The sequence below is a fragment of the Homo sapiens genome, chromosome 4 (genome assembly GCF_000001405.40).
Source record: "Homo sapiens chromosome 4, GRCh38.p14 Primary Assembly".
Lineage (NCBI taxonomy): Eukaryota > Metazoa > Chordata > Mammalia > Primates > Hominidae > Homo > Homo sapiens.
The window spans coordinates 128964264-128987170 of NC_000004.12; the positions used below are offsets into that span (position 1 = coordinate 128964264).

At 35.8% G+C, this 22907-nt stretch overlaps 1 protein-coding gene across 12 annotated transcripts in view; it reads right to left on the reverse strand.

The window, feature by feature from the left end:
- SCLT1 (sodium channel and clathrin linker 1) overlaps positions 1 to 22907 on the reverse strand; it is a 220299-nt gene that overhangs the window by 91023 nt on the left and 106369 nt on the right. For 11 of the 12 annotated variants that reach the window (XM_047449590.1, XM_017007717.3, NM_144643.4 and 8 more), the window contains exons 10-11: positions 6115 to 6205; positions 964 to 1055 (exon numbers count right to left, since the gene is read on the reverse strand). In XM_047449590.1, coding sequence (XP_047305546.1) covers positions 964 to 1055; positions 6115 to 6205 — 183 coding nt within the window. The remainder of the gene's footprint in view (positions 1 to 963; positions 1056 to 6114; positions 6206 to 22907) is intronic. The other variant, XM_047449597.1, reaches the window with a different exon arrangement.

A 22907-nucleotide genomic window follows, 5' to 3' on the forward strand; every position in this document is an offset into this window, starting at 1 on the left:
CCTGTAGTTATTGGCACAGTCTCAAACAACTAAGAATTGTCTCACTCAAAAAGCCAATACTCCTGTTGAAAAACATGACACCAACTGATGATGGCTATCAGGGCAGAGATAAGTGATGGGTAAAGGTATCCGAAGGGCCATTGCAAATTAGAATTCCCAAGAACACAAGGGAGAACAGTACTGGGGAGCAGGATGCACTAGCACCTTGCCTTCTGGAGGACCAAAAGAATTGATGATCAAGCTTCAGCTTGCAAGATTTTTCTGACATATTACGCCCAAGATGCAAAAAGAATCTACATTTAGCTCTTGAAGCTAATCCTTTTTGTAGGATTTATGGTTCATGATTCCTAAAAAATAGTTTTTAAAAATAACATTCCTCTCCTTTCTTTGCCTTCCATTTTGATGGTTTATTTCTACTGTAACTGTATTATTTGCAGAAGTACAGAATTATAGAGGGGTTGAGGTAATATCAAATTTCCTCTTAACTATGATTTTAAAATTTTAACCACTCTTTAGAAGAAAGAAAGATTTTAGGTTACTGAGGGTCAACTATGTTCACACCAAACTCTGCAGGATGACCTGAGGAGAAATGAAAATAAAGGTGTGCTTTGTGCTCTGCAGTACTGATACAAAAGCATGATATCAAGGGTTTTATTTGTTTCCTAAAAAGTACTGGACTAAATTTGGTACAATTATTCTCATTCAAAATTAAATTAATGTACTTAGTAAAGGTTCTAAAATCATATTAAACAAATTATCTTTGAATATATATTCAAAGTATAGCAATCTGTTGAATATAGTTTTTAATAAACAATGTCGATTAAATCAGATTTTACACCTATGATTATAGTTTTGATTTGGAGTTTATAAAATATTTATTCTAGTAAATATCACACACTGAAACTCTATTGTAAAATATCTTTTAAAGCATATCAACAAAGCTAGGTGCATTTAACAATTTACCTTATTTCTAATTGTTTTATACTAGACTGTAACTGCTGTAAACGCCTATCTGATGCTTCCTCTCTTCCATGGGCAGACACCACATCCTTCTCCTAGAAAATAAAGAAACTAGAAGCTTACTTTGAGTATGTGAAAATTCAATACACCATTATACAGCATAAAGAAAACAGCTCATGCTATAAAGTTATTATGCTATTAGCATTCTAACACTTACGTTAAAAGAAACAATATGACTTTGGAAACAAATCATGTGTATAATAAAAAGGAGGGGAGAACTTCATCATCAATCCTGTGTTAATAAAAAATACTCCAAACAGTTATTGCACATAGATTTCTACCAATATTTCAAACTATTTCTATAGTACAAGTCTAACAAAACGAGAGGGATTTCTATGCAGATAATGTGCCTTTAGAATATGCTCTCTTAACTATATTATTCTATGTCTCATTAACTATCAAGGTAATCACAGGGTCTTTCTTCTTTGACATAGTGATGATTTGACCTATATTAATAAATTTTATTTGTATCAACTTTCTAAGGAAATTTCTTGTTCATCTTTTCTTGCTTCATGTGTTAACAAATATTTTTTATGATGCCATAACTTTTTTTTTTTTTTTTTTTTGAGACAGAATCTCACCCTGTCGTCCAGGCTGCAGTGCGGTGGTACGATCTTGGCTCACTGCAACCTCTGCTGCCCAGGTTCAAGTGATTCTCCTGGCTCAGCCTCCCGAGTAGCTGGGATTACAGGCACCTGCTACTGTGCTCAGCAAATTTTTTTATTTTTAGTAGAGACAGGGTTTCACCACATTGGCCAGGCTGGTCTTGAACTCCTGACCTCGTGATCCACCCACCTCGGCCTCCCAAAGTGCTGGGATTACAGGCGTGAGCCACCGTGCTTGGCCAAATTTTTTTTTTTTTTTTTTTTTAGAGTCTTGTTATGTTACCTAGGCTGCACTCAAACTCCTTGGATCAAGTGATCCTCCTGTCTCAGCCTCTCGAGTAGCTGGGACTATAGATGCACACCACCATGCCCAGCCTAAGAATGTCATTTTAATTCCTCTATTGCTTTTAGCTATATCTGTTTGAACTATTTTTTAGTGGTTGCTGTAGAGATTACAATATGCATCTTGAACTTACCCAATTTATTCAGAGTTAATATTTAGATAATAGTTCAGAGAAAACACTGAAACCTTGCAACAGCATATATCCATGTACGATCCCAGTCCTGAGTGCCATTGTTGTCATATATTACATCTGCACACTTTACAAACCCATCAAATACGGTGTTATTAGTTCTGCTATAAGCAGCCATCTTTTAAAGATATTAAGAGAAAAGTATGTACACATGTTATTTCATATTTGCCATTTCTGTTGCTTTTAGTTTCTTCTTGTATCTGAGTTGTCATTTGGTGTCATTTCCATTTAGCCTAAAGAACTTCCTTCAGAATTTTTTGAATGCAGGTCTGCTGGGGACAAACTCTCTCATTTTTGGTTTATTTGAAAATGCCTGTATTTTGCCTTCATTTTTGAAGTATAACTTCACTGAATATAGAATTCTTAGTATTTTTTTTCTTCAGCATTTGAAATATATTATTCTAATACTTTGTTTCCACAGGTTTTTTTTTTTCCTCCCTTCCAGCCTTTATTTTTGATTCAGGGGGTACATGGGCAGGTTTGCTACATGGGTAAATTGTGTATCGGGGGTTTGGTATACCGATTATTTTGCCACCTAGGTAATGAGCATAGTACCTGATAGGTAGTTTTTCAGTACTCACCCTCCTCCCATCCCCTACCCTCCAGTAGGGCCAGTGTATATCGTTCCCTTTAGCGTCCATTTGTACTCAATGATTAGCTCCCACTTGTAAGTGAGGACATGCGGTATTTGGTTTTCCGTTCCTGAGTTAATTTGCTTAGGATAATGGCCTCCAACTGCATCCATATTGCTGCAAAGGACATGATTTCATTCTTTTTATGGCTGTGTAGTATTCCATGGTGTACACGTACCACATTTTCTTTATCCAGTCTGCTGCTGATGGGCATCTAGGCTGATCCTATCTCCTTGTTATTGTGAATAGTGCTGTGATGAACATACATGGACATGTGTCTTGATAGTAGAATGATTTATACTACTTCGTTATATACCCAGTAATGGGATTGCTCAGTTGAATGGCACTTCTGTTTTGAGTTCTTTGAGAAATCTCCAAACCTCTTTCCACAGTGGCTGAACTAGTTTCCATTCCCACCAGCAGTGGATAAACATTCCCTTTTCTCAGCAATATTGCCGGCATCTGTAATTTTTTGACTTTGTAATGATAGCCATTCTGACAGGTGTGAGATGGTATCTCATTGCGATTTTGATTTGCATTTTTCTAACTCATAGTGTTGAGCATTTTTTCATTTGCTTGTTGGCCACATGTATATCTTCTTTTGAAAAGTGTCTGTTTATGTCCGCTGCCTACTTTTTAATGTTTTTTTTTCTCTTGTAAATTTGTTTAAGTTCTTTATTGATGCTGGATATTACACCTTTGTCAGATGCACAGTTTGCAAATATTTTTTCCCATTCTGTAGGTCGTCTGTTTACTCTGTTGATAGTTTCCTTTGGTATGCAGAAGCTCTTTAGTTTAATTAGGTCCCACTTGTCAATTTTTGCTTTTTGTTGGAATTGCTTTTGGAGTCTTTGACATAAAATCTTTGCCAGGGCCTATGTCCAGAAGTGTTTCCACAGTTTCTTGATGAGAACTTAGCCATTAATCTTATCATTGCCTCTCTGTTCAGGTCATTTTTCTATTGCTACTTTCAGGTATTCTCTTCATAATTGGCTGTCAGTATCATTGTGATGTATCTCAAAGTGATTTTGTTTACTCATTGAGATTCTTAAATTTTAATGTTTTCCACCAAATTTAGGAAGTTTTCAGCCATTATTTCTTTAATTTTTTTCTGCTCCCATCCCCCTCCCTTTGGCAGTTCCAATTACACTTATGTTGCATTGCTTCACATTGTTCTACAGATTTCTGAGCTCTTGTTCATTTTTCTTCAATCTTTTAAACTCTCTGTTCTTTGGACAGGGAAATTTCTATTGATCTGACTTCAAGTTCATTGATTATTTCTTCTGTCTTTCCCAATCTATTTTTGAGTCCATCTAGTGAAATTTTTATTTCAGTTGCTGAACTTTAAAGCTCTAGAGTTTCTTTTTTAAAAATTGTGTTCCAGTTCTCAATTAAAATTATCTATCTCTTCCTAGAGACTTTAATTTAAAAACAGATTTTAATTCCTTGAACATATATATAATAGCTGACTTGAAGTCTCTGTCTGCTAAATCTAACAGATCGATCCATTTAAAGTCAGTTTCTAATGGCTTCCTCCCTCAGCACCTCCCCCACAAGTATAGGTCATACTTTTCTGTCTAGTAATTTTTGAAAACTCAATAGTGTAGATAATACATTGCAGTTACTCTGTTTCGTTCTTTTGAGCATTAAATTTTTATTTTTATTTTTTTAGTTCAAGTAGACAATTATCTTGCTTGGTCTTGAAATTTGAAATCTGTTCCACATACAGTAGGTAGCAGCTGATATCTGTAATTAGTTCTTACTGCTTTCCACTGTTGCTTTTATAACTAGGCTCTGTGCCTACATAATTTGAAGATCAGTCAAGATTTGGGCAGAGTTAGGGCTCATCATCTTTGTGGTTCCCTCGCTTCTACAGATTCCCCTGTAATATCCAGCTGCCTTTCCAGCTTTGGGCTTTGTCCTCTGATACTTCAAACAATAAGGAAGTCTTCAGTATGCTGATGCTTCAATTGCACACATTTCTCGCATGTATTCAATTATAAAAAGTAGCAAACTCAAATATCTAGTTCCATACATCTCTATCTTTCAAAAGTAAATTTCTCTTAGGTCTCTGCCTGCTTCTTCACTGGCCTCTCTGGGGTCCCTCCCCCACTTCCATATGCATAATTTAGTTGTCAGGCATGAATTTGGTAAGAATTTACACTCAGAATTTGGCTCTCACTTTTTCTGTGTGTTTCTCTTGCTGCCAGTATTTCTTCTTTAAATTTCCTATTGCTGGCCGGGCGCGGTGGCTCACACCTGTAATCCCAGCACTTTGGGAGGCTGAGGCAGGCAGATCACAAGGTCAGGAAACTGAGATCATCCTGGCTAACACGGTGAAACCCTGTCTCTACCAAAAATACAAAAAATTAGCCAGGCGTGGCGGCGTGCACCTGTAGTCCCAGCTACTTGGGAGGCTGAGGCAGGAGGACGGCATGAACCCGGGAGGCAGAGCTGACAGTGAGCCGAGATCAAGCCACTGCACTCCAGCCTGGGTGACACAGCGAGACTCTGACTCAAAAATAAAATAAAATAAAATAAAATAAATTTCCTACTGCTTTTCTAGCCCTAAACTTTGACCTGGGTACCTTAAGCCCATACAAAGGTGTTTTCTGAAGCCACAGCTGTGGGGGTTGGGAGAACCATCAGGCCAGACATCCAAAATTTAACAATTCTTATTTCTTTTACTTCTTTCTGTTTTGGGTGCTTTCTGGTGTTTTAAAAATTTATCCAAGTTTTAAAATTGTTACCTATGGGAGGGTTCTTGTAACACTTAGAAAATCTACCATTATTAGAAATCTATAATCAACTTTTTACAGATTGGAAATAAGGCTTAGAAAGTTACATAGCTAATAAGTCCCAGAGTGAGAATTTTCAATAATTATATCTATCTAAAACTAAAGCCTGACTTTTCCTTGACATCCTTCTGAAATTTCTCTATTACATATTAAAAAGAACCAGAGTCTATTGTGTCAATAAATACTTTAGTAAATAACATAAAAGTAGTATTAAATGCTTGTTTTCCACCTGCAAATAACCAGTTAACTGAAACTTGATCTTGTATCAATTTGCGTTTCAGTAATGATGTGCTTAGGTGTGATTATGACGTTCTATTGAATTAGGCTATAGAGAATGGAAATAAAAAATTCTTTATAAAGTTGTTTTCAATAATATAGTTTAGCTTCCTACTTTCATATTTTAAGGGTATTAAAATAATTAATTCATCTTCTGACAACCCTCTTTAACACCTAATCCAAAATAAATCAACAAAATAGAAAGAAAACTAAGCAATAGGTACCCATTTGTCTTAGAAATAGAAAATACCTTCTTTTTCATCTGTCCCTGCAGATCTTCAGTCACATTAGTTAACTCTTCCACTTTTGCTACAGCAACTCTCAGCTCTAATTTGGCTTGCCTAAAAAATAAAGTAAATTAATAAACACTGTTTTCATAGACCACTAAGAATAAAAAATTAGAATAGAAATCTGAATTTGGTAAAATCAGTTCTAACTCTTGTTTATCTAAAATGGATCCATGGAATAAATTTTGGAAGATTCCTTTATTACTAATGAAGTGCATGTAGAAGATATTAAAGAGGAAAAAATATAGCTGAATGGCGAAGGGTATGAAGTAGAGGTCATGAATGCTGTACTTGGGTAAATTATATTATATACCAAAGTGATTCAATAAGTTTCTTGAAAAAGCACTTTATCATCTTGATACATTACCTAACAAGAGCTCCAGTGCACTAAGAAGAATATACTTATGTCTATAATATCTTTATAGATGGAGATGGAGATATACTGCTGATTGGACTTTCTATGAAAATGAACTTAAACTTCAATACCTTGATCATTCCATAGACACCAGAAGTTTGTATTATGTAAACACAACATAAATTAAAACATTTGTTCCACCATAATACAATGTTTATTTTCTTCAGAGACTGTATTGGCAACAAATGAAAAAGATAAATTTTTTTGAACATTCTAACAGAATTAAATAAGTTTCAATATCTTCTTAACTCCTCATAGGAAATGATTTTAGAACAATAATATGACTTTCTTAAACAGAAAAAATGATTTTTAATATCATCATAATTAAGCATTAAGTGAGTATAAAACCCTTTGATTATCTAAAGAACATACATTTTCAAGAAAAAAATACTGTAGTGTAGGAACTGTTCCCTATTTCTTAATTACATTTTATGTATGTATCTAAATGTAAATCATATTTGTGCTATAGAACTTACAGAAATTATTTGATGCAAAATTCACAAGTAAATGTTAGTTCATTTCCTTTTGACTCTTTGTCTTTAAAACTGCATTACTTATATAGTTATAAATTTCCTACAATAGAAAATACAAATCTAATAATAGCTGATAATATCTCAGGTAGTTATTAGTGCCAGGGACTGTTGTAAATGCTTTGCAGTCATCTCACTTGACACTCGATAATAACTGTGAATTAATACTACTATTATATCAAACTGAAGTAGAGGAGAGCAAGGTTGATAGAGGTTTACTAATATGCCCTAGGATTCACAATACGTAATAAAACTAGTATTTAATGAGTCCCCTATGACAGACTGCCTACCCTCACATGGTCCTAATAATATTTTATATGATGAGGCATTTAAGAAAATGTTTTGCTTTAAATTAACCAAGATTATAAAAAAAATCAAACAGGCCAGGTGCGGTGGCTCATGCCTGTAATCCCAGCACTTTGGGAGGCCGAGGTGGGAGGATCACAAGGTCAAGAGATTGAGCCCATCCTGACCAACATAGTGAAGCCCCATCTCTACTAAAAATACAAAAATTAGGTGGGTGTGATGGCACGCGTGCCTGTAGTCCCAGCTACTTGGGAGGCTGAGGCAGGAGAATCGCTTGAACCTGGGAGGCAGAGGTTGCAGTGAGCCGAGATCGTGCCACTGCACTCCAGCCAGGTGACAGAGCAAGACTCCATCTCAAAGAAAAAAAAAAAATCAAACAAAAATAGGTTTTTTTCATTTGCAAAATGATTCCCTAAGGACAAAATAAAAACCACATTATTCATGTAAAATCTCTGCGTCAGGCTGAGAGATAATTTCAGGAGTATATCTACAATCTAAATCAACAAATGATTCTACCAGTTATAAAATCCTATATATTTTTAAAGGAAAAACTTAAGGAATAATATATTTAAGTAGTAAGGATAAAACTGAGAAAACTCTGAAAAAGCATAGCAACCACACTGATTTGGTTTTCTTACCTTCAGAAAGGATAAAATAATTGCTTGTTCTACTTGTTTCATGGGATTGCTGAACAAGTAAAAATAGATAATGTATATTAGAGTGTCCTGTAAACTGTAAGCAAGATAAGGTCATAGCATGATCAAGGAAAAAAAAAAAAAAACCTGTTGGAGACACAGGAAGCAAGGTACAATGTGGAGAACACTACAGGCAGGGACCCAATTCTGTCACTAACTAGTAATATGTCTTAATACAATTCACTTGACCATGCTGCACGTCTCAAAGACCTCATGTCCAAAAACAGAGGTGGATTAGGCAATTTGCCAAGACCAAAATTCTAGAATTAGATTCTTTCCTTATTTCAATCTAATTGGCCTGAGTCTATTTCTAAGTTGTCTTTCAATTGTGTATTCCTTTTTCATTCTTTGGCCCAACCTTTAGCTTCATTATCACTCATAAGACTATTCCAGTAGATTCCAAACTCATCTCTTCACTGATGGTCTCCTCTTTTGTTCATTCTTTATAATGTATCTTATCTGTTAAAAAAATTATCTAGTAATAAAAACTCCTATTTAACAATGATTCCTGGATTCCACACTTTTTGGCATAAAGTCTACACTCCTCTACATATAAGTCTACACTCCTCTACTGGCATATAAGGCCAGTCAACATCTAGCCTCAAAGAGTCTCATCTCTTGCCAATTACCCCCATGTAATTTATATTCCAAGTATAATAAAGTACTCACTCGCTGTTTTCTAAACACATCCTTGTTTCTTTTTTCACATGTTTGGCTGGACTAGTCTTCTTCTTTTTCTAACCAATTCCTTAATTTTGACCTAGATCAAAAATCTCCCCATCTTCAAGTCTTCACTAACTTCTCCTTGGCAAAAACCCTATATCTCAATACTTATAATATATAATACTTTATACATTATTAATTGAACACACTGTATTGTAATCAATACTATAGAGATTCTCCTTTGTGGAACTGTGAGTTCATAAAAAATATACAATGTAAGATAATTAAAAGCAAGGATCACATCTTATTAATTTTTAAACCTTCAGGAGATAGCATAGTACCTGGGGCATAGGAGACAAGTAAATCAATCATAAATGAATGAGAGGGCAAAAGGAAAAGGTGGGGGGAGGGAGAGGGGAGGGGAAGGAGTAGTGGGAGGGAGGAGAGGGAGAGGGAGGGAGAGAGGGAGAGGGAAAGAGAGGGAGAGAGAAAGAGAGGGAGAGAGAGAAAGAGAGAGAGAATGTTACAGTACAACTATATCTTGATATTTTACCTAGATCTTGCACACCCAATTTAATATTCATGTGTGAAAAATTCTAGAAAAATAATTTTATGAACAATTATTCCAAATATATATTATCTCATATTCCTTTGAAATGAAATCTCCTGCTACATAAGTAAAAAGAAAAAAAATAGGCACTGGACTTAGACCTAATTTGGAAGTCATTATAAAAAAAATTCTGAAAACATTCATATTATATTATGTTCACTAAACCACAAATACTATTTTTTTGGGGGGAAATAAGTAGTGGTTTTAAATATATTTGTTTATTCCCACACTGTTCCATAGAACAGTTAGAAAGTAAGTAAATAGTTCTTTATATCTACTTTTGGCAGGAAGTGTTGAAAAAAAATCTAAAATAAAAGGCAGAAGGCCTGTCTTCTAGAACTGACTCTACCAACACAAAAGGTATGTGAACTGGGCCAATCACTTAACCTCTCTGAGTCTTAGTATCTATAAAATGGAGATAAAAATAATTTTCCCATATAGCTCACAGAATTATAAAGTTCAAATAAGTTAATACATATTAAAGCATTTAATAAATTTTACTGTAGTTTATACAATGCAGCTACCATCATCATTTTGCCTTTTATTAGATTAAATTGTCAGGAACTGTGTAGTAAAGTATTAATTTACAGCTGGACTGGGAAAGCTCTGGGGATGCCTGAATATCTAGCCTTGACTCTTAGCCAGTATACGAACAGTGGGATTTATGATGTGCTGTTTAAAGTATGAATCTCTTCCTGCAGCCTGCAAGTTGATTTGTTTACTGATAATTTTCACCAGGCATAACTAGATAGCCAGGCTAGGCTATGTGATCAGTGTGCCAGAAAAAATGACCCTGATGGGAACTCCTGCCTGGAGCTCTCCTGAAGCCAAGATTCATTGCACAGATCTTGGTGGCTCAATGTGGAGACAAAGCATGTCTGTATATAAATAAAGGCCCTAGGGTGCCTATCCTGAATGTGTTCTGGACGCTAGATGCTTGCCTATGTTCTTTTTCTGGCTGCACAATATCCTTTGGCCTTTAAATAAAAGCCTTCTGTAAGTATGCTCTGTGCAGTCTTGTGAGTTCTTTTAAATATTCAAGCTTTTAAAATTTTTGAAGGAACTAACAAAAATAATTCTAATATTATTTTATGAAGAAACTCAATAATTATGTTTATACTATTTACATGCAAATGTTTTAGATATATGTCTGCCTGTGTATGTAATTTTATAAAAGTCAAGAACAGTTTAACAAAAAAATTTTGATTTAAAAAAACACAACTAGTTAACTATTAACAATCTTGATGTCATAACTACCAAAGGATTTTATTTTTGCTTCAAATTAATATTCTAAAAAGTACATTACTTTATTTTCAGGTATGCTTGTTAATCCACTTTATATTCCTGGGATTTTTCATTAATGTATTACTTCATTTCTTATGATATTAAACAGATTTGAATGACAACTTTTTTTTTTTTTTTTGAGATGGAGTCTCGCTCTGTTGCCCAGGCTGGAGTGCAGTGGTACGATCTTGGCTCACTGCAAGCTCCGCCTCCTGGGTTCACGCCATTCTCTTGCCTCAGCCTCCTGAGTAGCTGGGACTACAGGCGCCCACCACCACGCCTGGCTAATTTTTTGTATTTTTCAGTAGAGACGGGGTTTCACCGTGTTAGCCAGGACGGTCTCGATCTGCTGACCTCATGGTCCGCCTGCCTCGGCCTCGCAGACTGCTGGGATTACAGGCATGAGCCACCACACCCGGCCAACAACTTTTTAAAAATAAAACTTTGTTAAGCAAAATTTAATCAAGTATAACATAAAGGATAGGATATAATACTAGATTTAAATTATACCATCAATTTGGACAGAAATTAAAATGCTTTAATTATCAATACACTTTTTTGAGACTTAACATCAAGTACAATGAGTCTATTTTAAGACAAATTTTTATGTTTCTTCCTGCACTGTCATACAAAGAGAATCCTAGAAATGTTTATGCCTTTTTTGCATACAGTGAAAAATGGTAAGATTCTCAGATATAAAAGCTAGTTTTTGCTGATTTGATATTCTTAATTTTTTCCTCTTTAAAATAAAAAAATGCACACGTTAGGTAATTTAATAAGGACTTTTGTAATTACCCAGTATAATAAAGCCAATCATTTACACTTAAAAACTTTAGAAAATCCTGAAACATAATTTTAGACAAAGTTCTAAACTTTTAAAATCACTACTGCTTTTAGGAAACTGAGTAAGTACCAAAACTGGATAAAGTTTTATTTCAAATTTTTTCCTCTTCCCAATCTTTACTGGCAGTCTAATAATGAAACCTATTCAAGACAGAAGGGTTCCAAAGAAATTCTAAAAGCAGTGGATATTATAATCCATACGCTGAGCTATCAAAACTTTCCAAAACAGTGGCTCTTCAGTTTTTAAATACGTTATTTGTATATTATTTATACACACTTGAAGTTAATTCAAAATTATACATAGTTTCAGGTAATTCAAAATTCTAATTTCTATGTTAGATACAATATTCTATGATACTAGTAGTAGTGTCCATACTTTGTGTGTACGAAAGTGAGCTTTTTGCAACTAATATGGATAGGCTTTTTCACATCATATATGGATAGGCTCAATCTGAGACTTACTCATTCAGGACGTCTGCAAGCAGTACTTGGTCATCTCTGTTTTTCAGAGTCTCTACAGGGGATTCTGATGTATATTCACTGTCTTAAATTTTACAAAATACCTACAAGATTGACAATTTACTCTTTTGTAAACGATGATTACAAGTCTAGTCTTAGAGTCATGTAACTTTGGGTAACACTGACAAGGTGCAGAAAATATTAATTCATAATCTATTATTGATCAGACTATTCAAATCTCTTATGCAACAGACATGCTTAAAACATGTTTACTTCATGCCTGCAATGTTTGAGGTGCTGCAATAATGTGGTACAAAACACACAAAGGATTTTTCTCCTTCATAGATGATCATATCTACCTTACCCAATTTAAACTTTCAGCTCAATGTAATTATAGCGCTATAGTAATCTTGAGGAGGGCCACAAAGCAAGCATATGTTAAGCAACAAAAAAATTAAAATAAAACATTATGATTCTGAGTATGCAGCACATTTACATTTAGCTGGGAGAATATTGAAGTGAGAGGTATTTAAAGCAAGAATTGGCAGAGGAATTATATATCTCACAAGAAGAGACAGAGAAAGCTTTAGGAAGAAACAAGATAAGCACAAGCATAAAGGTAGGTAAGTGTAGGGCTTATTTAGGGAAGATGAGAAATAAGACTGTAAAGGCCATGGGGACTACAATGTCAATGACCTTAATTGACAGTTAAGTTATCTGTATCAATTTAAAGGCAAATGGGAAACTGTACCAATAATGGTATCGGAGCTCAGAGCTGCACTTTAGAAATTTAAACCTGACATTTGTGAAAAAGAATAGACTAGAATGATAGTTCTGTCTCTCTCTGTAACCAATATGTTATAATAAATGAGCAAGAGGGAGGAAAAGTCTAAACCAGAGTGATGACAACAATTCTGAGAGAGATGGTGTAGATTTTACAAACAGAATTTAAGGGATTCTATGCATTCATTCTTTGAACAAATATTTATTGAATGCTTATAACATGCCCGACACTGTGAATATAATTTGGACATGTTGAGCCTTAAGTGCTGGTGGCTCATCAGTTTTTTGTTTGTTTTATCTCTATTTCAGGAGTCCTAGAGTTATTTTACTGAGCACCTACATGTACTATACCAAGTACTGTCTATTGAGCACCTACATGCACCATACGAAGCACTGTCTTCAGCACTGGTGATGCAGTGGTAAACAAGGAAGACAAAGCCCCTGTCTCATAAAGTTCATATTGTAATGGAGGGAGACAGGCAACAAGTATTTCAATAAATCAGGTAATTAAAGAAAGTGACAATGTTACAAAGAAGATGATACAGGGAAATAGGAAAGACATGGGTCATCAGGCACATCTATGGTAGAAATATCTGAGCTACGACCTAAAGGATGATGAGGCAAACTGAAGAAAACTTAGGGTAGGAGAATTACAGGTGAAGATAATTAAGAATAAATGAAAGAATATGAGAAAGACAAAGAAATGACAATTAAGACGGAACGTATCACAGAGAAAAAAGTGTAAGATAAAGTCAGAGAGGAAGGTAGAGGTCAGATCACATAAGGGCCTTCTGGATATACTAGGAATTTTGGAATGTGTTCCAATTGCAATGAAAATCCACTGGAGGGTCTGAAGCAGGTAAATGATGTGATATATTGTGTGGAGAATGAATTGCGATGGAATAAGAGTGAAAGCAGGTAGACCAGAGAAAAGGGTACTGCAAACAAGAGATGGTGGGGTAGAGGTGATATGGATGATGACTAGATTTGTGATCATCTGTACATAGAGCCAACACGAGCAGATGTAGAGATGAAGCAAAGGAGAGCAAGCAAGCAAAAATTCTGAGGTTTGATGATGGCATTAGCTAGTAAGATAGAGAGACCCTCTACTCCTTCAATCATAGCCATTCTACTTTTATAAGTTTAAATTCTGAGGTTCCATGTATAAGATTTCTTTTTTTAAAAAAGGAGTTTACTGTCAAAAAATAAAAAGTTTGAAAACCACTGACCTAGCAATTCAATTATGGAACTCAACAAAGCAATCAAGGTCAGAGGTGTATACTTGGAAAACATTAGGGCTGAAAGTTTAAATTGGGTAGGGTAGATATGATCATCTATGAAGGAGAAAAACTGAGTCACATGGTTAGAAATCTAAGAAATGTATACTTTTCATAGGTAGGATAAGGAAATGGGGGAAGCAAAAGAAGCAAAAAACAAAACAAAACAAAACAAAAAAACAAGCAACAAAAGTCAGAGAAGAAATCATGGCATAAACACAAAAGTCCTGGTAGAGAAATGTTTAAGAAAGGTAGAAAAAATCATCAGTTAAGGAAAATCAACAACCAAGGAGAATGAGGGAGGCATTTTTAAGTCATAAAAGGTACCAGTAATTCTTGAGGAGAAGAATAGATGGAGGGGGGCTGAATCCAAACTGAAGAAAATTCCAAAGAGTGACTATAATAAATACAGATTCTTCCAAGCAACATCAAAGAATAGGAAGAAGAAAGTATCTGAGGAGTCATCAGGGAGGTCTATACATCTGAAGTCTTAAAAGAACCATGCAAAAGAGAAACTAAGATTTCAAAACAAAAAGAATATAACCGAAACATACAGGAGGGAATAGAAAGAATTTGGGATTGTACAGTTGGCAAGAAATGGGGGTACAATATAATAGAAAGAGGAGAAAGAAAGAAATGGTTACTCTGGTCCTAGAAATTACAGCAGCAACAACAAAAGGCAGATTTCCCAGGTCTGGGGGGTAAATAATCCACTATTTATTACAATGTTAATAACAACTCCCAAATCTATTAGCAGGTAATTTGTAAGTACTGTATATCCTACCTACAGAGGTTGGATACTAAAGTAGAAGGGAGGTGGGCAAAGACAGTAAGTTATATTATATTGCAACACTGCAAGGAAGGTAATTTCATTTTCATTATAGCAATGAGGAAACTGAAGTCCATGCAGTTAAACAACCTACCCAAGTCAATCACCAGTAAATGGCTGTTTTAGTCTGAGTATCTGTGTCCCTGCAAAATTCATATGTTGAAATCTCATATAAATACAACCTTCATATAACTCTCAATGTAATGATATTACCAGGTGGGGCCTTTTGGGAGGTGATTAGGTCATGATAGCAGTGCCCTCGAAAATGGGATTAGTGCCCTCATAAGAGAGGCCCAAGGGAGGTTTGTTTGTCCCTTTTACTTCGTGAAGACAAAGAGAGAAGGTGTCATGTATAATCAGGAAACAGCCCCTCACCAAATCCCAAATCTGCCATTTTCTTAATTTTGAACTTCACGGCCTCCAGACTGTAATAAATACATTTCTGTTGTTTATGAGCTATTCAGTATGTGGCATTTTGTTATAGCAGCCCCAATGGATTAAGACAATGGCAGAGCCACAATAAAAAACTAGAGCTGACTTCAAAGCCTATGTTTTTTAAATTTCATACCACACAGAACCACATTTTTAAAGACAGGTGTACAAATGTAGCGTATCTGCAAAAGAAAGTTATAAACATCAATTAAAATATATTTTGAAAGAAAACAGTCATCTACTCTTAGAGGCAAAAGTTCTGAACAATGATGTTATGTATTTGTTTTATTCTTGCCAGACCCCCAAACAAGAAATGTTAATACTAATTAACTGTGGCTAAGGTTCCACTCTTGACCAGTGTGTTCTAGAAGTCTAATAATCTTCTTACTGTCTCTTAAAGATTGAGAGAAAAAGATATATAAACATTATTGAATAAAGGTGACAGTAATCCCTTTAAATAACATTAAAGTAAAACAGTGTGAAGAAATAGAAAACTGACAGCAAAGCCCTATTTCTTATCTTAAAACCTGTTTTCCATGCTCAGAAAACTAGCTGCCAACACATAAGGAACTGTCTGGCAATTCTATGACTAAGCACATCTGCTCAGGGCCATTTCTCACATGGGATTGTTTCCAAGACACACTATGAATCAAAACTAGTGATCCATGAATTCCAGATTTCCATAGCATTTTTATAATAGAAGACACAATATTATTTAAATTAGAACATGAAACATCTGAGAAAAATCTGTTAGCTAAAATAAAACTATTACCTGGCAAAAGTACATGTCTTTTAAAAAATAAGATAGTATATAAAAATTATCAGCACACACATTTTTAAAGAAAAAATATGCATTTGTAAAAAAGATTAAAAATGAACACAATGAACATATACAAACTGTGATTTATATAATTTACCTTTCCAGATTTAATATGATAGAGCAATACTAAGAATTGCATTCCTATCACATCAGCTCTAATGCTCTTCAATGAAACCACTTATATATAAGTAATTTTGCTAGCATATTTTAAAGATGTCCTGGATTTTATTTCATATTTAAATGTCGAGAGAGCACTAAACATAAAAAATATTTAAGGCTCTAGCACCCAGTCAAACTTTGAGATTACTGGTAATAAAAACAGATTTAAAAGTCAATACAGCTTAAATGCTGGATCTATAATGAGAAACACTAAAAATCTTTTTAATTCATTGTGCAAAGCTTCTATTGATTATATTAAAATGATTTTTTTTTCCAGGTGTGTTGTTTTGGAAATCAAACTTCTAAGTGGTCACACATTTCTGTGTAGCTGAAGGAGATAAAATATAATTTTTTAAAATAATGACAGTTCAAGAAAATAATTGTGCCCTTAGAGGTCAAAGAGCAAAGGACACAAATAGAAAATCCACATGAATAAATTAGCCTTGTCTCTCCAATAAAGTGTAATTTAATTATTTAATTAACTGACTCACTCACTCAAAAAGTATTTTTTTGAGCACCTGCCATATGTCTAGTACTGTGCTAGATGATGGCAAGATAAACATCACCAGATCATAATCCACGCCTTCCAGGGGCTCAAAGACTAGTGTAGAGAGATGGATTTGTAAACACTTAATAAAGTGTTAAAAATGCTGTGACATGGTAAGATATCAGATCTAACCAACTGCATCTTGCTTCTAACCTCCAAACTCTCTTTGTCCATTCCTGGGCATAGGCTGAACTAGCCTTGGGAAGGAATTTAGTTTATAGTTTAAATAGCCCTTCCCAAAAGCTAGACTGTTATTGTAAAATGAATGAAAGGCCACTAGCCACCAAGTTAGGATAAGAGGGGCTGGAATTCTAAATATTACCAGCCATTTAGTCTGGAGGTCGTAAGATTTGCAACTTCCCCAATTACTCTTGAAGATAACATTACTAGTGTGAACCTAAAATTGTCCTTTTAAGATGTCTTTCCAGGTTTTTGCATTTCTGACAGCCGGATGGCCCCACCTGGACCTGCCAACCGTTTCTGTGGCCCCTACCCAGGAACTGACTCAGCATTAAGAGGACAGCTTCGAGTCCCTACAATTTCATCCTCGAGCCAACCAATCAGCACTCCTGACTCACTGGCCCCCTACCCGCCAAATTATCCTTAAAAACTCTGATCCCTGAGTTTTTGGGGAGACTGATTTGAATAATAATAAAACTCTGCTCTCCCACAAAAAAAAAAAAGAAAAAAAAAGAAAAAAATGTTGTGACAGATGTATGTGCAGTCTACAGTCGAGGCACACAGGAAGAAGGCATGTTTGGTACTACAGGAGACTCAAGCTGAGTAATCTGTCAAACTGAATAATTTGGATTATATCCTATAGGCATTTAGTAGCCATTGAAGGAGAGTGACATGATCGGACATATTTTAGAAAGATCACTTTGATAACAGTATGAGAAAGGAAGATGGGTACAGTAAGCTAATTTAGAGGTTACTACTGCAGCTCAGATGAGAAAGTGATGAAGTGAAAGATCAGAGAGACATTTATAAGGTAGAGTTGGGACAGAAAAGAATTTATGATGTCTCCTAGTTTTCTGAATCAGGAATTGGATGGTACAATTCACAAATATGGAGAAAAGATCTGAGAGATAATGATAAGCTTACTTTGGAGCCTGCTGCTTTTCAGGTGCCTCTGAGCCATGTGGGTAGAGATAACCAGGAGAACCCTGAGCTAGAAAAATTTAATGAGATCTCATCCTCACAGAAACTGTCGAAGCTACGAAAGTGTGCATGAGATGAAATGGGTCAAATTAAAACAACTTTGAGGCTATCACATTATACATAAACTTATTATAAAGACTGTTTCTACCTTCAGAGCACAGATGTACATGTTTAAGTTCTCAATGAATATAAAATAAATTGATTGGACAAATTATAGGCTCCTTACATGAATATAATATCTATGTCTGTTAATGAGATAAGTCCTTAGTGGCTAAGTTATTATTATTATTTTGAGATGGAGTCTTGCTCTGTTGCCCAGGCTGGAGTACAATGGCACAATCTCAGGTCACTGCAACCTCTGCCTCCTGGGTTCAAGCAATTCTCCTGTCTCAGTCTCCTGAGTAGCTGGGATTACAGGCTCCCATCACCATGCCCGGCTAATTTTTGTATTTTTAGAAGAGACGGGGTTTCACCATGTTGGCCAGGTTGGTCTCAAACTCCTGACCTCAGGTGATCCACCCGCCTTGGCCTCCGAAAGTGCTGAGATTACAGGCATGAGCTACCGCACCTGGCCAGCTAAAATTATTTTTAACAAATATTCTGATGATGCCACTCTGATGAGAAGTTAATAAGGACCCCATGCAAATGCTTTACTTAGTCTTTTTTGTTTGTTTGTTTGAGACGGATTTTCACTCTTGTTGCCCAGGCTGGAGTGCAATGGCACGATCTCGGCTCACCGCAACCTCCACCTCCCAGGTTCAAGTGATTCTCCTGCCTCAGCTTCCCTAGTAGCTGGGATTATAGGCATATGCCACCACGTCCGGCTAATTTTGTATTTTTAGTAGAGATGGGGTTTCTCCATGTTGGTCAGGCTGGTCTCAAACTCCCGACCTCAGGTGATCCGCCCGCCTCAGCCTCCCAAAGTGCTAGGATTACAGGCGTGAGCCACTGCGCCCGGCCACTACTTAGTCTTTATAGTACATCCTTTTAAAAGATAACATTGGTTATTCCTAGAAAGATATAATAAATGACAATCTTTCCCTTCGAAGACTTTACAAGGCAGGCATAAAATCTGAGCACATGAGAGTTGGAAAATAATTATCATCATAACTCAGTTGGATATATATTATAAATAAATGTATAAGACAAAAAAAGCACCTCTGGAAAAACAGTATAAATCTCAGTTTAAATGAATAAATACTGAGTAGGTTCACAAGAATAAAAAAGTAAAAATCTGGTAGAATGAATGAGAGAAGTCTTTCTGGAGAAGGCAAGTTTTAGCTAGGTTTAGAAAATTATAAATTTTCTGAGAAACAGAATGATCTAAGGCAAAAAGGAAGTTACCAAAAGTTGTTCTGCGGGAAACAGCAATATGACTATTTTTCTGTATAACTGGAGGTTTGAGGAGGATCAGGTGAATGAAGGTTCTTAAGAAAATAGGCTGAAAAGTTTTATCTACTATGACAAGGTATCACCAAAAACTCTCAAAATGAAATATGATTAAAGCTTTAATTATAAGTTCACATGATTTTAACTTTTTTGCACCACACTATCAGACAACAAATGAAACTAATATGTTTCAGTATAAGTACAAACTTAAACAACTCTAGTACTTAAGGAGTTTCTAATTTAGTTATTCTTGGCATGGCTATATAGAGCATCTCAAAACCTAAATTCTGGTAATGTCAATATGCCCATCATTCAGAATCTGTCATACTTGAAAGCAACACTCTCTTCCGTAAAAGAAGCATCTGTTTATCCTTATGTTCCTTCAAATCTGTGGCAGGAAAAGCAAGTATAGTTTTATGTATACAACTCTGAACTGCTTAATGTTAAGCTATGGAATACTGTCAGTAAATATTATGGCAAAGTTGTTCATGGACAATTAAACACTTAAGACGTTTTAGGCTTTGGAAAACTGCAACTAGTTTTATCAATCTCTAAACTCAATTTATAATCCTTAGGCCCTAATGTCCACACTAAATGAATCTTCCAGGCAGATGTCAAAAATCAAAGTATCTACTCATCATACTTTTTTCCCCTGCAATCAACTCTGCTACTTGACTTCCTCACTGCTGTGAATACTGTCAGAGAGCCAGGCTTAGAAGCTCACTAGATTAGCAGTTACAAGATGTGAGTTCTAATTTGGCTTTTCCATGAATTTGTTGTGCAACTCTGGACAAGACAAATAGTTTCTAAGCCTTTGGTTCACTTTGAGTTTTCTATAAAATTAGGAAGTCAAACTAGATGAACATTAAGATACCTTCTAGCAATAAAATTTCATGATTCTTCCCCTGTCCTTTAGCTCAATATTACGAAGTTCTGCCCATTTTTCCTATATAGATTTTTTTATATGCATTTTTATTCTCTATTTCCATTACTATAATATGATTGCAGGTCTTTATGAACCAGTTTCCTTACTCATCCTTCCAGGATCTCTACCTTCTAATTTATCCTACATATGCCAAAAATCTTATATCCTTTTTTTCCTCCCACTCTTTTCTTAACCTTGAATGTAAAGTTGAATTTTTACACTATTCATTCCATGACCTATTATCATTATCAGCTGTAAAAGATATTCTCATTTGTTTATTTTTGTTTTTTTGCTCATTCCCAATCCCTTTCTCATTCTCCTCCATTTCATAAGTTCATACTAAAATGTGATATATCCTCAGATATACACATTTACTGGTAAAATATATATTGTTATTACAAGCATATGTTTTATGCTATAGATCCATATATTTTACTTTTTAAATATAAACACTGTTTTCTAGTTCTACCCATGTTGCTCTAACTACATCTTTACATGTAAATATGTGTTTCTAAATGATGCACAGTATTCCTTCCACAGGATGTAATTATCACATTTTACTGTTCATTCCCTTAGTGACAAATACCTAGGTTGCCTTCAATTCTCTACTTCCACAAATAGCCTCATTCCACAGAGACAATCATTAACTTGAAGTAAGGATATATCATTTCTGGGAATGGAACTTTATTCTCTTGTAATACACACACACATACACTACATATATATGTAACAGATATATAATTTTTACTACATATTTTGAATATATATTGATATATCCATATACATATATCGATGATCAATACACACTATTGTTTAAAAGATTTAAACTGTATCACACTGTAATTTTTTGGCCTCTTTATTACACTCCACATTTTTACATTGATTGCTGAGTGTGAAGTAGTATCATGTTTTTACTTGCATTTTCCTGATTGCTGTAACTTTTGAAATGCTTATTCATATCGTTTGCCTAATTTTCGATGAGTTAATTATTCTCATTGATACTTAATCAGTTAATGTGTCCTTAACACTAATCTGTTGTGTTACAATACACGCATTGTAAATGTCTTCTCACTGACTATGAGTTGTCTTTTCATTTGACTTATATTGTTTTTGTAACAGAAGCCTAATATCTTAACATATACAAGTAAAGAAATCTTTTCCTTTTTGGCTTGTATTTAAATCTTTTGTTTTTTTCATGACAGGCTAATTTTAATTTTTGTAGAGATGGGGTTTCACCATGTTGGCCAGGCTGGTCTCGAACTCCTGACCTTAGGTGATCTGTCCGCCTCAGCCTCCCAAAGTGCTGGGATTACAGGCATAAGCCACTGTGCCCAGCCTAAATCTCGATTAAGAAATATTTCTCTAAGGAGAGGAAGCAGAGCAAGATGGCTGAGTAGAACTCTCCAACAACCATTCCCCTGCAAAAATAACAAATTGAATGACCACCCACATAAGAAAGCACCTTCATAAGAACCAAAAAATCATGTGAGTGATCACAATACCTGGTTTGAACATAATATCAAGGAAAGAGGTACCGATGAGTGTAGGAAAGACAGTTTTTCATTACCCATACAAACTGCCCCCAGCCCCAGGCAGTGCAGAGTGGACAGATAATTTGTGTGCTAGGGGGAGGGAGAGTGAAGTAAGTGTTGAACTTTGCATTAGAATTCAGTGCTGCCCTGTCACAGTGGAACACAACATAGGCTAGAATTCCACCAGCACCCATGGAGGGAGCATTTAGACCAGCCCCAGGCCAGAGAAGAATTCACCGTCCCAGTGGGAGAAAACCAAGTCTTTGCTGCCTTCACCACCACTGACTAAAGTAGCCTGGGCCTGGAATAAATTTAAGTGGCAGTCAGGCCACAAGGACTGCAGTCCTAAGGCAAGCCCTGGTGCTGCACTGGTCTCAGAGGCAGTGCACTTAGGGTACAATACAGTGTGACCAGCAGTGGCAGCCAAAGGATTGCCTGTGTCATCCCTTCCCAAACTCCAGGCAGTACTGCTCCAAAGAGACTCTTTCTGCTCAGGGAAAGGGGAAGAAAGAGTATAGAGGACTGTGTCTTGCAACTTGAGGACGAGCTCAGCCACAGTAAAGGCACCAAGCAGATTTCTGAAGTCCCAGATTCTAGATTTTTGCACCTGGATGCGTTTCTAGACTCACTCTGTGCTAGAAGAGAATCCACTCCTCTGATGGGATGGACCCCATCCTAGCAGAATTCATGCCCTGCTAACTGAAGTGGTCCTGGGCCTTGAATAAACATCAGGCAGTGGTGGCTGCAGGCCTTGGGTTAGCCCCGGTATTGTACTGGTCTGAAGGGATTCGGGTGTGACTCTGTGTAGTGCTAGCTGTGGTAGCCATGAGAGTGGGCACGTCACCTCTCCCCAACTCCAGACAGCACAGTGTACAGAGAGACTCCTTCTGACTGGGGAAGGAGTAAGAGACTTTGCCTGGTTACCCAGGGAATTATCCCTCATCTTACCGAAGTCTAGCAAGTCTGTGTATGTAGGAGGATCTAAGAGCTGCAGCATTCCTAGGCTTAGGAATCTAAGCCTAGGAATGGTTCTGAAATGGCTTCTGCAATGTTCTGAAATGGCTGCAATGTTCTGAAATGGCTGCAATAATTGCAGG